Below are 13,014 nucleotides of genomic sequence, written 5' to 3'. Positions count from 1 at the left end.
CACAACTCCTTCCTGCTAGTGCAGAAACAACCTCAGAATCCCACTCAACATAGCACTCCAGGCAGCCACAATTTGGGACTGGCAAGCAGGATAAGTTTGGCCATCTCCGCTCAGAGGAAGTATTAATAGCAAGCTAGAGAATTTTATAGACACTGAAGATACAGATTTACATATATTTTAAAAAGGCTTTAAAACAACCCTTCCCAAAGTGAGATGCTTCCCTGAAAAAGGCTTCTGGGCTCAATAGATTTGGGTAAATGCTCCCTACAATATCTCCCTCTCAAAGATTTTTTAGAGTCATTTTTTAAAAACTACAAGAAGGCTTAAAGCTTAGAAACTTAACTTTATCCTGGCTGGCCATGGTGGCTCACGCCTATAGTCCCAGCACTTTGGGAGGCTGAGGTGGGGAGACCACTTGAGCTCAGGAGTTCGAGACAAGCCTGGCCAACATGGCAAAACCCTGTCTCTACTACAAATAAAAAAATTAGCTGGGTGTGGTGGTGTATGCCTATAGTCCCAGCTACTTGGGAGGCTGAGGCATGAGAATCGCTTAAACCCCGGGGGCCGGGAGGGGAAGGTTGAAGTGAGTGGAGATCAAACCACTGCACTCCAGCCTGGGCAACAGAGCAAAACCCTGTCTCAAAAAAGAACTACATAAAAATATCCTAATATTTTACACAATTTTCAACTACAGAATAGAAGTGTTTGTGTACATTTCCATCTGATACTATAACAATTCCTTAGAGACTGGTGCCACAAGAACACCTGCTGGAGAGCCCTGCCTAGCTGACCTGGCTAGACTGGATCCCTCCCTCCTCCTCCCTTCCTTCCTGCCTTTCTTTCTACTCACCCCGACCCTCTCCAATTCAACATCCGGGCTCTTCCTGGGTGGTCTTTCTAAGAGACCAGCTCACGACCACTCTCACATGCAACCTTTTGTAACGCCTCACTGGCCGTGGGGTTGCCTTCTGACTTCTCAGTGAGACACACCTGGAGCCTAGGATAGGGTCCCTGCTCCCGTCTGGTTCCCCTTTGGCACTCTGCCATAATCAGGACCGGCTTCCTGGGTGTGTGTCCTGAGTGTGTGACCCTGTGTCATAGCACAGGGTCCTGCACTTAGTTTAATGCTCTGCTATCACTGTCCTGGAATTCTTAATAATTTTGAACAAGGGACCCCACATTGCTATTTTCCCCCAGGCCCCTGTCCTGCTCATAATCCCCTTCCCTTCAGATGCATGTCAGCTCATCTGCATCTTCGTGCCTTTGTACACACGGATCCCTTCACCAGCACCTCACTCCCCACTTTCCTCTTGGTTAACTCTAGCCTTGGCTAAGCCCCTTCCTCTACATTAGTGCCATGGCCTGTGCTTCCCAAGGTGAAAGTCCTTGTCATCCTCTATGGTCTTTGTCTCTTTTAGTGACCGTCTCTCTCATCACACCATTATTTTCCTGAAGGCAGGGACTGTATCTGGTGTGGCTGTGCAGCACCAGGCACAAAAGACGCCTGGATTTACTGTGACGGCAGGACTCAGCAGCTTGGCTGTACACAGAGATAGGTGCTCACAGCTGATGCTCCCCAGCAAGAAGCGGTAGTGCAGCCTTTATCTGGAAAGTGACCTGCAGTGTGTGTTGAGCTTGAGAAAAAGTCTGATTTTGAATCTGAATTTGAGGACTTTCTCCTATGAATTGTGGTCATTTAAATGCATGAGGGAAATGCTTATAAGATGCTTCTGTTTTCTTTTGCTCGATGTGTACACGTGACATAAAGTTCAACCAACAACGATTGAGCATTTGTGCTGACTGCTGGCTGTTCCGAAGTGAACAGGAATAGGCCACAGTCTGTATGTTCCAGGAGCTCACATTCCAGGGGAAAGGCCAAGTGAGACCCCCTGAGTGATTGGATACAATGACAAGCTACGCAGGTGAACTTGAGTGAAAGGCTGACCTCTGGTTTGATTTGGGGTGCTTGGCACAGGTGGAAATCCATCTTGTCAAAGCATCTAGTTTTCATGAGCATTCCAAGCATGTGCTTGGGCAGAAGGATGTTCTGGTTTAGAAAGCAGCAGACAACACAGAATTGCTGCAGAGATGATTGCTCCGCACTTTGCGGCCTCAGTGATGGATCTTGTGTCTGTCCTTAAACTCTCCAGAAGGGGCAGGCATCTGCTCTGGTGCTTGTGGGAACACCCGTTTCCATGTCTCCAAGGCCTGCCTGACAAGGTGCTGGCCTCGTAGTGGCAGCTCTGGCTGCTCTCTCCTCTCACCGGCCCTGTCTGCCTCCAGCCCCTGCAGCTCTGCGAGCCCCTGCACTCCATCCTGCTGACCATGTGTGAAGACCAGCCTCACAGGCGGTGCACGTTGCAGTCGGTTCTGGAAGCTTGTCGGGTTCATGAGAAAGAAGTGTCTGTCTACCCAGCCCCTGCTGGTCTCCACATCAGAAGGCTGGTTGGCTTGGTTCTGGGTACCATTTCTGAGGTCAGTAGAGAACCGTGCTTTTCAAGCAGTAGCTGCTGGTCATGTGTGGCTATTAAAATTTGAATTAGTTATATTATCATTAACTAAAATAAAATAAAAAATTAAATTAATCAGTCACATCTGTCACATTTCAAGTGCTCCGTTGCCACTCGTAGCAGGTGATGACCCTATTGAACAGGGTGGATCTAGAACATTCTTGTCATTGCAGTTCTATTGGGCAGTGCTAACAAAGACCTTTAGGCAAGCCCCAGTTTGTCACATGGCTAAGACCCTTGACATCTTTGCAAGTGCGTCCTTACATAAAGCAATAATGTTTAGAACCCATGATTCAGTTTTCTTATCAAAATTCAACTCTAGGTTCTGCACAGAAGCCTTCCCCGACTTCGTTTTTGTGGTCCCTGGGTACCCTCCCCTCTGCTATTTTATACCTGTGGGGTGTCCTTTGTTGTGCTTGTCACACTGTGCTGCTTGCTGCCCTGTGCACTCCACAGAGTGCAGCAAGGGGCCTGGCACATGGGAGGCATTTGGCTTAGGTTGGATTCCCTCCAAGCTAACCCAGAGACAGGGATTCTTGTGCAAGTTATTTACTGGGGAAATGTTCCTGGGAGAGGGGAGTGATGGTAGTACAGCTGACAAGTTGAAGGATATAGTCTCAGCTGGAGACAGGCCCAGCCTGGCCCCCTGGGGAGCTCTGTTGCAGGAATGGCACCATGGAGTTGGTCCCCCATGAGACCTGAGTGGAGCTGGGATAGGATGGGCAAGTGAGGTGCCTATGGCACAAAATGTAAGGAAGTTTGTATTTGGGAGGAACCAGAGACAGGTAAGCTAGAGGCCAGTTGAGTGGCTGCACTTGTCCAGGGACAAGTTGGAGAGCTGAGAGCAGGATTAATGAGGGCCAAAGTGGATGGAGATGTGGGGACAGCAGGGTGGACAGCGGCAACAGTCAATCAGAGAAGGCCTCTGCCATCAGAGAAGGCCTCCTTCTTGGACCCCTTCTCTCTTGGCATAGGAACATGTGGCTCCTATGAATTGAGCCAGAGGATTTGGTGGGGGAAATGGACTATATTTATTTGAAAGATACTGAGGTCTACCATCCACTGGTGTGCCATTGTCCTTGGATAGACAGTGTACTGACCTGCAACATTTCCGTCAGGGATCTGCAAGGTAGATGTCAGTCACGTATTCAACATTCATTGGGCACTGCATTAGGTGTGCTACGGTGGTGCATAAAGCACACAGAGATGTTGGGGGAGACAGACAAGCAGCACACTCATGGAACATGATGCAACAGAGCCAGGTGTGAGTGCAGTGATAAGGGAAGGTGATCAGACGGCAGAGGTAGAGAGGCTTAGAAGTAGAAAGCACACAGCTCTGGGTCTTGTGGGCACAGAGGAGCTTCTGGGGAGGCTGTAGCCATGGAGGGAATGCATGAGCAAAGGCACAGATGTGTGTGAGTGTGCAGGTCTGGAGTGGGGAGTGAAGTGCCTTCAGGGTGCATGCAGGGGGTGGGCACAGAGCACATTCTGGGTGCCAGAGAACACATCTTTAGGTCACCGTATAGGGCAGACAATTCCACATTGATTCAGTCTGACAGCCAGTTTGCATGTATCTATAAAAACGCCCCCTCCTTATCTTGGGATGTGGATGTGTGATGCACTTGACCCCCAGGTGGAGAAAAGAGTTGTGGAGGAAAGCTCCTCTGTGCAGCAGAACAGAAGCTACCTGCTCAGGAAGAGGCTGCGTGGGACAAGCAGCGAGAGCCCAGCGGCACAGGCCCCGGAGTGTCTGCATCCTTGCAGAGGTGGGTACGTGCCCTAAGCAGTCCCTGCGTGGGCTGATGGTACCCATTCTATTTTTTCCTGCCCTGTATGGGCTACACATCCACATTGTGATGGCAGAGAAAGCCTATGTAAGTGCCACTCTTTCAGGAAGCCCCTGAAGAGAAGGGGCTGAGCTTAGGACTCACCTGTGTTCCCAGGAAAGTCTTATTTGGGGACACAACACAGTTATTTATATCAAATGAAAACTTTAAAAATGAGTTCTAACTGTCCAAGTTGAGAAAATCCAAATTGAAACAAACAACAAGAAAAGAAAAACTTGATTTTTTTTTCAGTTATTGTTCTGGGTGTGTTAAAAGAGTGGTTTTTGGAATAATCTTCAAATCTACTGTTCTCTACTTTTCAACTAAATCTGAGCTTTTTTTAAAAAAATTAATGTTATTGTTTGTTGTCTCTAAAACAAAGTGCACTTTGCCATTAGGCTTTATCTTCCCTTGTAACCCTCCCTCCAACCCTCTGTAACTGTCATTTCTGTTTTCTACATGAGGAAACAGATTCAGAGAGGCTAAGGAATTTCACCAAGGTCACACAGCTAGTAAGTCATGATGCCATTCATGCTCTGAGATGCCTGATTTAAGAAAGCCGTGATCTTGGCTTCTGCCCATACCCTCTACCATGCTGCTTGATTAGTTTCAGAAAGAAGCACGGAGACCCAGAGCTCACCAGAGCCCCATTGGAGCACCTTGACACACAGTCACTGCAGCCTCCTTGTTAACCGGTAAGCAGCAAGGCCTAAAGGGTGCTGTGAACTTGATGTGAGACATAGGTGTGGGGGCTATGGTACCTTATTTCTTTACTGATTATTAGTAAGAAGCCTCTTGCTCCTCCAGAAAATGCCAATGCTATTCCATTAACAGATGAAGAAGCCACATTTAAGCAGATCCGAAGCCAAGATAATGAGGGGCCTGGTGGCAGCTGTGCTGTCAGGGCATCCTGTTTCCTCTGGGAACCATACTCAGGCCGAGTGGCGGAGCAACAACATGCCTCAATATTGTTGCCATTATCCATTGCCATACCATGCTGCATAACAAGCAACCACAAAACACAGTGGCTAAAAGCAACAATTATGAATTTAGCTCATGATTCTGTGAGTTGGTCATTTAGGCTGTGCTCAGCTGGGAGGTCTTCTAGACTCTGCTGAAAGCCTTCCTGCCTTTTTGACTGTCTTCGGCTCGGCTATCCAGCTTCTCCTGCGGGGTGAATGGCCATTGTCTGGGAAGCTCTGGCTCTCCTCCACCAGCAGGTCAGCCTAGGATTGTTCTCGTGACAATGGCAGAACTGACAGAGAGGAACTGAGAGAGAGAGAGAGAGACAGAGAGACAGAGAGAAAGAGGAGAGAGAGGAGAGAGGACGGCAAGGTGCATAAAGCCTTCAGAACTGGTCTTCCATCATTTCCACTTCATTCTGTTGGCCATATCAGGCCTAAAGGCCAGCCCCATTTCAAGGAGTAAGAAATAGACTCCATCTCTTGATGGCAGGAGGCTGCAAAGTCGGATTGCAAAGGGTGCAGATCAGGGAGAAGAACTGTGGACATTTTTGCAATTGTCTAACTTAGGATGCTTGAATCAGATCAAAACCTAGATGGGCTCATATCTTCCTGGACCTGGAACGGTGTTTATTTTGAAGTTTGGGTGATTTATTTATTCACATGGTGACCTGTTGAGGGCTGTAACAGTGTCTTGTCATAGTTGATGTCAAATCCACAGCTGACGCCCTGATTGGATATCGTAGAGTTTATCTTGCAATACTTTTTCCTGCCATTTAAAACTTTATTTTCCCAATGAAAACAATTTTTACCCCCTGATTCCTTAAACAATATATTTTATTGTCAAAATATTTTGAACAACATATCAAATTCTAAAGAAGCCAGAACTGCTGCAGTCCCATGACCTGCTGGGTGGTTGCTCTAGACCTGGGGTCCTGGCACCACAAACAGAGAGGTAAAGCCATGGGGTGGAGAAGTCGACTGTGCCTTGTACCTCCAACCCCACCCCACCCCAGTGGCTGTGCAGCCTGGCTTCTCCAGGCCTCAGCTTCCCCCACTTGAAAAATGGATATAACTCCCCCATAGGTGGGGGAGAAGGTGACATGCATCAGTGGGTGCACCCTGCCCAACTGAGCCCCTGTGCGGGTGGTCTTTCATGCCATGGAAGCCCTTGCCATTGCTAAGTGCTTCACCCCTTCTCAACCCCTGGCCAGCGCTCTTCCAGGAGCAGATCCCCAGGACCAGCAGGCGGGCCGGAGGCTCAGCTCTGGATCTGTGCACTCGGCAGCAGACAGCTCATGGCCAACAACTCCTTCTCAGAGGGGTTTTCTGCAAAGAAGGAGCAAGGTAAGCAAAATAAGGCTGAAGGACACTCCTCAAGGAGGCTTGAGCAGGGAGCTGTGGGTGGCTGGCACGGTGGCTGAAAATGGGCAGGGTCTTCTAGGGGACAACTTCCCTGGGCTGAGGTTTATAGGATTGGACTAACATAAACCTGAAATTTGCAACTTAGGGCATAGGCATTCACTGAGTAGCCTCACTGGGGAAGGCTCTATGGGGGACGCTGTATAAGATGTAGGGTTAAAGATGCTGGGTCCCACCCTAGAGGAAGCCACCGGTGCGCAGGGTGGTGGCAGAGCGTGCTACATGATTCGAGAACTGACAAGGCAGAATGTGTTTGGAAGGGGCCTTCTGCACAGGTGAAAGGTGGGAGCATAGATCCAGGGCCGCAGGGAGGGCTTCTATAGGGAGGAGAGAGTTATCCTTCCAGCTGGCTAACCCTAAGAGGGTAATAGGGTTAGGCGGAATGTGCCTGTCTGTCTGTCAAAGTTAGTTAAGGTCCCTTGACTGAGCTGAGCTCCAAATAGCCTCAGGATGTCCCTCTTCCTGTTTGGCCTATGGTTCCCATACGCTGGCCTGGCCCGCACTGTCCTCCTTGGCCCTTCTCTGGCCTCCATGAACTTGGTGGAGGGCGTGAAGAGGGCTTCTGAGAGGCTTTGTCCACCTCCTTTGGCTTTTCTTCCTGATCACTCACTAGAGATACTTCTATTGGGAACTCTTGCAGGACACAAGTCACTTCTGGGCTGGAATTTTGGCCTCTTGGGACAAGAGTCCTGCTAGGTACCCTTGGGGGCACTATAGAAGCCCTACCCAACCCTATCTCTTGCTGGTTATATGACTCAGGTGAGCTTCTTAAGCTTTTTTTTTTTTTTTTAAAGGTGAGGAGCCTCAACTTCCTCACCTGTAAAATGGGTTGAGAATATGCACCCCACAGGGGGATAGCTGGGTCTAGCTAGTGATGGGTATTGCAGTGTTTTCTGGGTCAAGTGTAATACAAACACACTGAGAACAAGAGGTGCCCACTAAGCTATTGATTCAACATCTAGAGCTAGAAAACATTTCAGCTCATCTAAATCTAAAAGTATTTTTGTTTTTTCAAGTATTTTTATTGCATTTATATTTATATTATACATTTTATACTTTTGATACATACAAAAGATGGAGTTCTGTGTAAATTATGAAACTTATAATTCACCCCGAACACCCCTGTACCCAACTTAAGAGCCAGAATGTTGCTGATACCCTATACCCACCTGTAAGACTTCTGCTCCAAGATGTACCATTCAGCTGGGGCCTCAGCCCAGGTCAGCCCCATCTTGGCCTGTTTTCTGCTGGCTCTGGGGAATGTATGCTGGTGGGGGCTGCAGAGGTGCATCATGGGGGAAGCCCAGACCCAAAGCCTGGAATCTGTTGTCTTCTCTACCATATGTGACTGTTTTCCTCCAGTTTTCCAGGCCAGAGTTCATCCTGTTGGCTGGAGAGGCCCCGATGACACTACATCTGCCGGGATCGGTTGTGGTAACTACTGGGCTAGACTGGGCAGGGATGGAGGGTGGCGAGGGAAGTGGGCAGTTGCGGGAGGCCAATTGTGTCTGAATGGGGTCTCACATGGGAACACCCCAGTGGCATTCAGTTTCCCCCAGACCTCTGCCAGAACCATCACTGCCTCCCACTGCTGCTGTTTTCCCTTCAGCCTGTTAAAGGGGCCCCACGTGACTTCCAGCTGAGTCCTGCTGGCCCTCCCAGCCTCAGCTAGGGAATGCTGTGAAACATCTACCAGGTGCCAGGCACTATTCTAGGCCCCCATCTATGCTGCGAATGAAACAAAGTCCTTTTCATGTGGAGATTACATTCTAGAAGGAGGCGGCAAAGACAGACAAAGACATAAATATAAAAGAATGCCAGGTAGTGATTTGTGCAAAAAAAAAAAACAAAAAACAAAAACAAAAAAACAACGAAGAAGGGAGGAGGATGGAGCATGGCAGGTGGTAGGAGGGAGAGTGTGCTCTTTTAGATAGGAAAGTGGCTCTGGGGAGGCATCTTGTGAACAAAGACTGGGTGAAGACAAGGAGTGAGCCTTGTGGGCTTTTCAGGAAGGGCAAATGCTGTGTGGGCTGTCCCTTCCCTGCCCCAGAGCCTGAGCACGTCCCCTGCAGAGCCCCATGTGTGGCTGGTCTCACCCTGAGCTCCCCAGAACATATCTGTCCATGTTCAGGCCCATATCTCTGTTGTCCAGGGCCCAGTTGGGGCCGAGAGCTTCTCAGTCAATGTTGAGTATTTGGATGTGAGCCTTTCCCATCTCCCCAACCCCCAGGGCTGGAAGCGCACACATTGTCAACTTGGCTTTCTGGGCCTCTGCTCAGGGCCTCTTGGAGGCAGGGCTTGAGTGGGGCATGGCTAGAGGCTCTCCCCTCCCAGGCTCCTGCATCGCCCTCCACTTGTCCTTCCTGCCCTGAAGAGCACCAATGAGCCCACCTCTGGCTCACTCCAGCAAAATCCCATTGAATCCCAGCTTCCATGCACCCCCCTGTCAAGGGGATGTCTGTTGCAGTGCACTGACATCATTTCCTCTACACCTGAGTCCTGAAAGTGTTGAAGCAAACTGGTCAGTGCACGTGGGATGCCTGCCTGACAGGGGCCTCCAATTCCTATGCAATGACCAGCTGCATCAATTTATGCAGCACACGCTGACGGGCACCCACTGTGTGCCTGGTCCACCTGCATGGGCACAAAAAATATGAAGTGGGATGATAACTTTTACACCCCAGGTATGCAAGATTGAGTTACCCAAAGCATGAAAATACTAAAGCTAAGGAGGCTGGTGTGTGAGGGGCTGGGGTGTCAGGGTGGCTCACTCTGGGGGTCTACAACCTTCTGAGGACACTTCCTGTATGGGGCTTGCAAGTCAGAGGGCCATGGCCTCCTCAGCCCAGTCCCACCTCTGCCCATCCCCTTCAAGCCACCTGCCCTCAGCTGAGGGGAAGAAGGGACAATTCACCCAGGGACCCCTTCCTGACATCCCTGTGGTCACATGGCTTAGGTGACTGGAGACTCCTCTACCCACCGGGTAGATGGGCCAGACCTGCTGTGATGGGGGCCAGCTTCCCCCGCTCTGCAGGGATGCTTGTGCAGTGCTTAGGTACCAAGACTCCAGGCGATGGGAACAGTGCTATTGTCCCAGTTCTGTCTGGGGCGAGCATCTTGACCTACACACCAGGTCTAGGACCCTAGTTATAATCCTCAGAGGGGACCTTGGACCCTTGCCTCTAGGAAGATGCAAGAAGGGTATGAGGGTGACTGAGGGCTCCCTCAGTAAAATACTTTTTAGACCTCTGTCCCTTACCTGGGAAACAGGAGGCCCCATTCCCAGGGTTTCCTGTGTCACTCTGTTTGTCTGGCTTGGGCTGGAGCATTTGCCCCTGTTGCTTTAGCCCCTCCTTTCCTGTCCCCAGGGTTCTCAGTCAGTGTAGCTCCCTATCTCTCCCTCCAAGTGGAGTTCTTGGTACACACACCCTTTCCTTCTGCTTCCCTGTGGGTGTTGGGAACAAAACAGATTCCCCTTACAGCATGGCTGTCCCGTGGGAAACACTGGCAACTAGGCTCACTGAAACATGAAGAGGCAGCACCCTGTGTTCAAAAGCAGCCACCACAGGAACTAAAATATAAAACATTTTCTTTTTTCTCTATATGTGCTTTCTCTGTCTCATCATGTCATGGTATTTTTATTTTTTATTTGCTGTTTAATGTCACATTCTCTTGGGCATAGGGATATTCACAAGGTGAACAGAGACCCTTGCAGGTACCTGGGACCCTGCTCTGTGACTTTGCCACACCAGTTGCTGGATCCATGCACCATGCCCCACGCAGGGTGAAAAAGCCCAAGCTCCCTTCCCATGACTCTGCTGTCCCAGCCCAGACAATCAGTGGTCCCCCAAGGGGTTACACCCTTTGCATGGAGATGCGTTTGGTACCTGGCTTGGGAGCTGGGTGGGTGAGATGCTTGTCCCTGCTGAATTGCCCAGGGAAAGAGCTTTGGTGCTCCTGGCCCAGGGTGGGGACAGCCACTGTCATGGTTGCTCTGACATGCCTTGGGTGCGTGTGCCTGCATGGGACCTTTCCTCCACCAGCCCCTGAGGAAGGCATCACTAGGGGGCAGTGAGAGCCATGGCTGCCCTCAGTGGAGGGCAGCAGAGGTCACTGTGTGGGGAGGATGAAGGGGCAGGGGAGGCTGGGCAAGGCATGGGGATTCAGAGAGCAGAGGAGTTGGCAGCCAGAACCCTCCAAGGAGGAGGGGAGGCAGGACTGCTGAAAGTCAAAGCTTTGTATACTCGCTCATTGTCCTGGGGACTTCACTCAGAAAACACACATTCCAAACACAACTATTAAGAGTGTCCAGAGGGCAGCTTCAGAGCACTGGACCCAAGCAGGGGCCCATTATGGGCATACGATTCATCACTGAGGGCCTGGGCAGCCCTCTCAGGAAGCAGCTGGGATTTCTGCAAGGGAAAGAAGCGGGTCAGACCTGCCTCCCAGCCTTCCTGGCTCTCGCAAAATCACCTTGGGAAGCTTTACTAGATATTGATTTCCTAGGCCTTGTGCCAGACTGACAGAACCATCTTGGGAGTGGTCTCCTCACCTCTCAGGTGACTCAGGTGTGCAGCAAGTGTAGGAACCAAGGTGGCATGGAGTATGCCTGTGTGATCAGCCCTGCCCAGCGGCATGTGTGAAACCCCCTCCCACAGGGTCCTCAGATCTGCTCTGGCCCCTGGAGTGCATAGGCTGCCCCTGGGTGCCAGGAGTGTCAGGGTATGACCACAGGCATGGTCTCGATGGCACTAAGGCCACATATGCTAGTGTCTGTCCATGACTGCCTTCTAGAGAGAACTTCCTGGGGGAGGTCCAGGCTGGGCTTTGGGACATGGGGATACTCAGGAAGAGCCACAGACAAGGGCTCCAGAGCCTGACCTGACAGATCCATAAGAGTTTGCCACATGGGGAGGGAGTGGAAGAGCCCTAGGGGCAGTGGGTATCATATGTGCAAAGACACAGACAGAATGGCCCAGGTGGCTGCCTGGTGATGAACTATCCAGGAGGCTGAACCAAGGCAACAGTGGTCTGGGTGGGGCTGTGGTGGGAGATGAAGAGGCAGAAGGCAGACTCTGGAGGCTCTTTGGCTCTGCCGACCCATTTCTAGAGTCTAGGTAATCCCCTTGCTCCAGCTCTGTCTCTTCATTGGATCTGCACCCACCCAAATTCTCTCTGAAGTTTAGAATTAATTAACCTGTGCTCTGCTGGGACCTGGGGAGACAATGTCAGATCGACAGATTGATCCAGGGCCATATGATTCATTGATGAGGGCCCTGGGTGACCCTCTTAGGAAGCAGAGCCCAAGGGAGAGCTGGAATTTCCGCATGGGAAAGACGTCAGTCAGACAGGCCTCCCAGCTTTCCTGGCCCCTGCTGAGCCTGGCAGAAGGCTCAGATTTGAGTCCAGTTCCTGCCTTACAAACTGTGCAAACCCTAGGCAAGACTCTTACCATTTCTGAGCCTTAGTTTCTCATCTGCTGCATAGGAATTGTAAATATACTTATCTTTTAGAGTTGTCAATTAAATGAGACAATGTGTGTAAAGTGCTTAGTACAGTAACCAGCACACACTAAAGGCTCAATGACTTATAATTGTAGTATAATTGATACTGTTGTTGTTTTCAGACCAAAAAAGGGAAATCCTATTTGGCTCTCAGGGACCTCTGTGTGGTCCTGCTGAACGGGCAGCACCTGGAGGTAAAATGTGATGTTGAATCAACAGTGGGAGCTGTCTTCAATGCCGTGACATCCTTTGCCAACCTCGAGGAACTCACCTACTTTGGCTTGGCGTATATGAAAAGTAAGCATCTCTTGGGCAGCTCACAGCTGGCCTGGTGCCTCTGGTAACCCAGGTATCTGGGTACCTGAGCTCTGTTTCTTCTGGGAAAACTGTTTGAGACTTGGGTGCCTCCCTTTGTATGCCTAGACATTAGTCAGCATGACGAGGGCTTCAAGTACTCATGGATAAAGCATCAAGCAAGTGCAGAAGGTTGTCAGGAAATAATGAGTGTAAGATGTGGGTTTCTGTGGCTTGCTGGATCTGGTTGATTGATCTCAGGGCACTGAAGTTAGACAAACAAGCAAATGTTAAAAGCATTTCCATCTAATGATGCAGGACTAATGGGGACTTAGTACCCTGACCCTAGGAGCTAATTAAGACTCCATTCTAAATATCCAAGAAAAAGGGTTTCTATACCCTCTTCCCTCTCTGACGTTCTATTAGAGACTCTTTATTTCTGCTGTCGACCTAAAATGACAGTGGAGAGAGACAGGCTCTCCAAAAAATGAGTGTA

General features: G+C 50.0%; 1 protein-coding gene across 6 annotated transcripts in view, besides 2 other annotated features; it reads left to right on the top strand.

Moving 5' to 3' along the window:
- FRMPD2 (FERM and PDZ domain containing 2) overlaps window positions 1-13,014 on the top strand; it is a 118,337-nt gene that overhangs the window by 30,260 nt on the left and 75,063 nt on the right. For all 6 annotated transcript variants that reach the window (NM_001318191.1, NM_001018071.4, XM_047424652.1 and 3 more), the window contains 6 exon segments: window positions 2,284-2,475; window positions 4,144-4,276; window positions 4,944-5,031; window positions 6,513-6,645; window positions 8,083-8,154; window positions 12,347-12,521. In NM_001318191.1, coding sequence (NP_001305120.1) covers window positions 2,284-2,475; window positions 4,144-4,276; window positions 4,944-5,031; window positions 6,513-6,645; window positions 8,083-8,154; window positions 12,347-12,521 — 793 coding nt within the window.
- Window positions 1,908-2,131: a silencer, noted in NCBI's record as "fragment chr10:49450548-49450771 (GRCh37/hg19 assembly coordinates)". NCBI's record gives its function as "represses an EF-1alpha promoter that drives an FKBP-Casp9 reporter gene in an ReSE screen in K562 erythroleukemia cells {active_cell/tissue: K562}" and the evidence as "EXISTENCE:reporter gene assay evidence [ECO:0000049][PMID:32094911]".
- Window positions 10,729-11,230: an enhancer, noted in NCBI's record as "H3K4me1 hESC enhancer chr10:49441449-49441950 (GRCh37/hg19 assembly coordinates)". NCBI's record gives its function as "activates a minimal SCP1, AML or CMV promoter by ChIP-STARR-seq in primed H9 embryonic stem cells {active_cell/tissue: H9 hESC(primed)}" and the evidence as "EXISTENCE:reporter gene assay evidence [ECO:0000049][PMID:30033119]".

Source organism: Homo sapiens, chromosome 10 (assembly GCF_000001405.40).
Source record: "Homo sapiens chromosome 10, GRCh38.p14 Primary Assembly".
NCBI lineage: Eukaryota > Metazoa > Chordata > Mammalia > Primates > Hominidae > Homo > Homo sapiens.
This window is presented reverse-complemented; position numbering and strand designations above follow the sequence as displayed.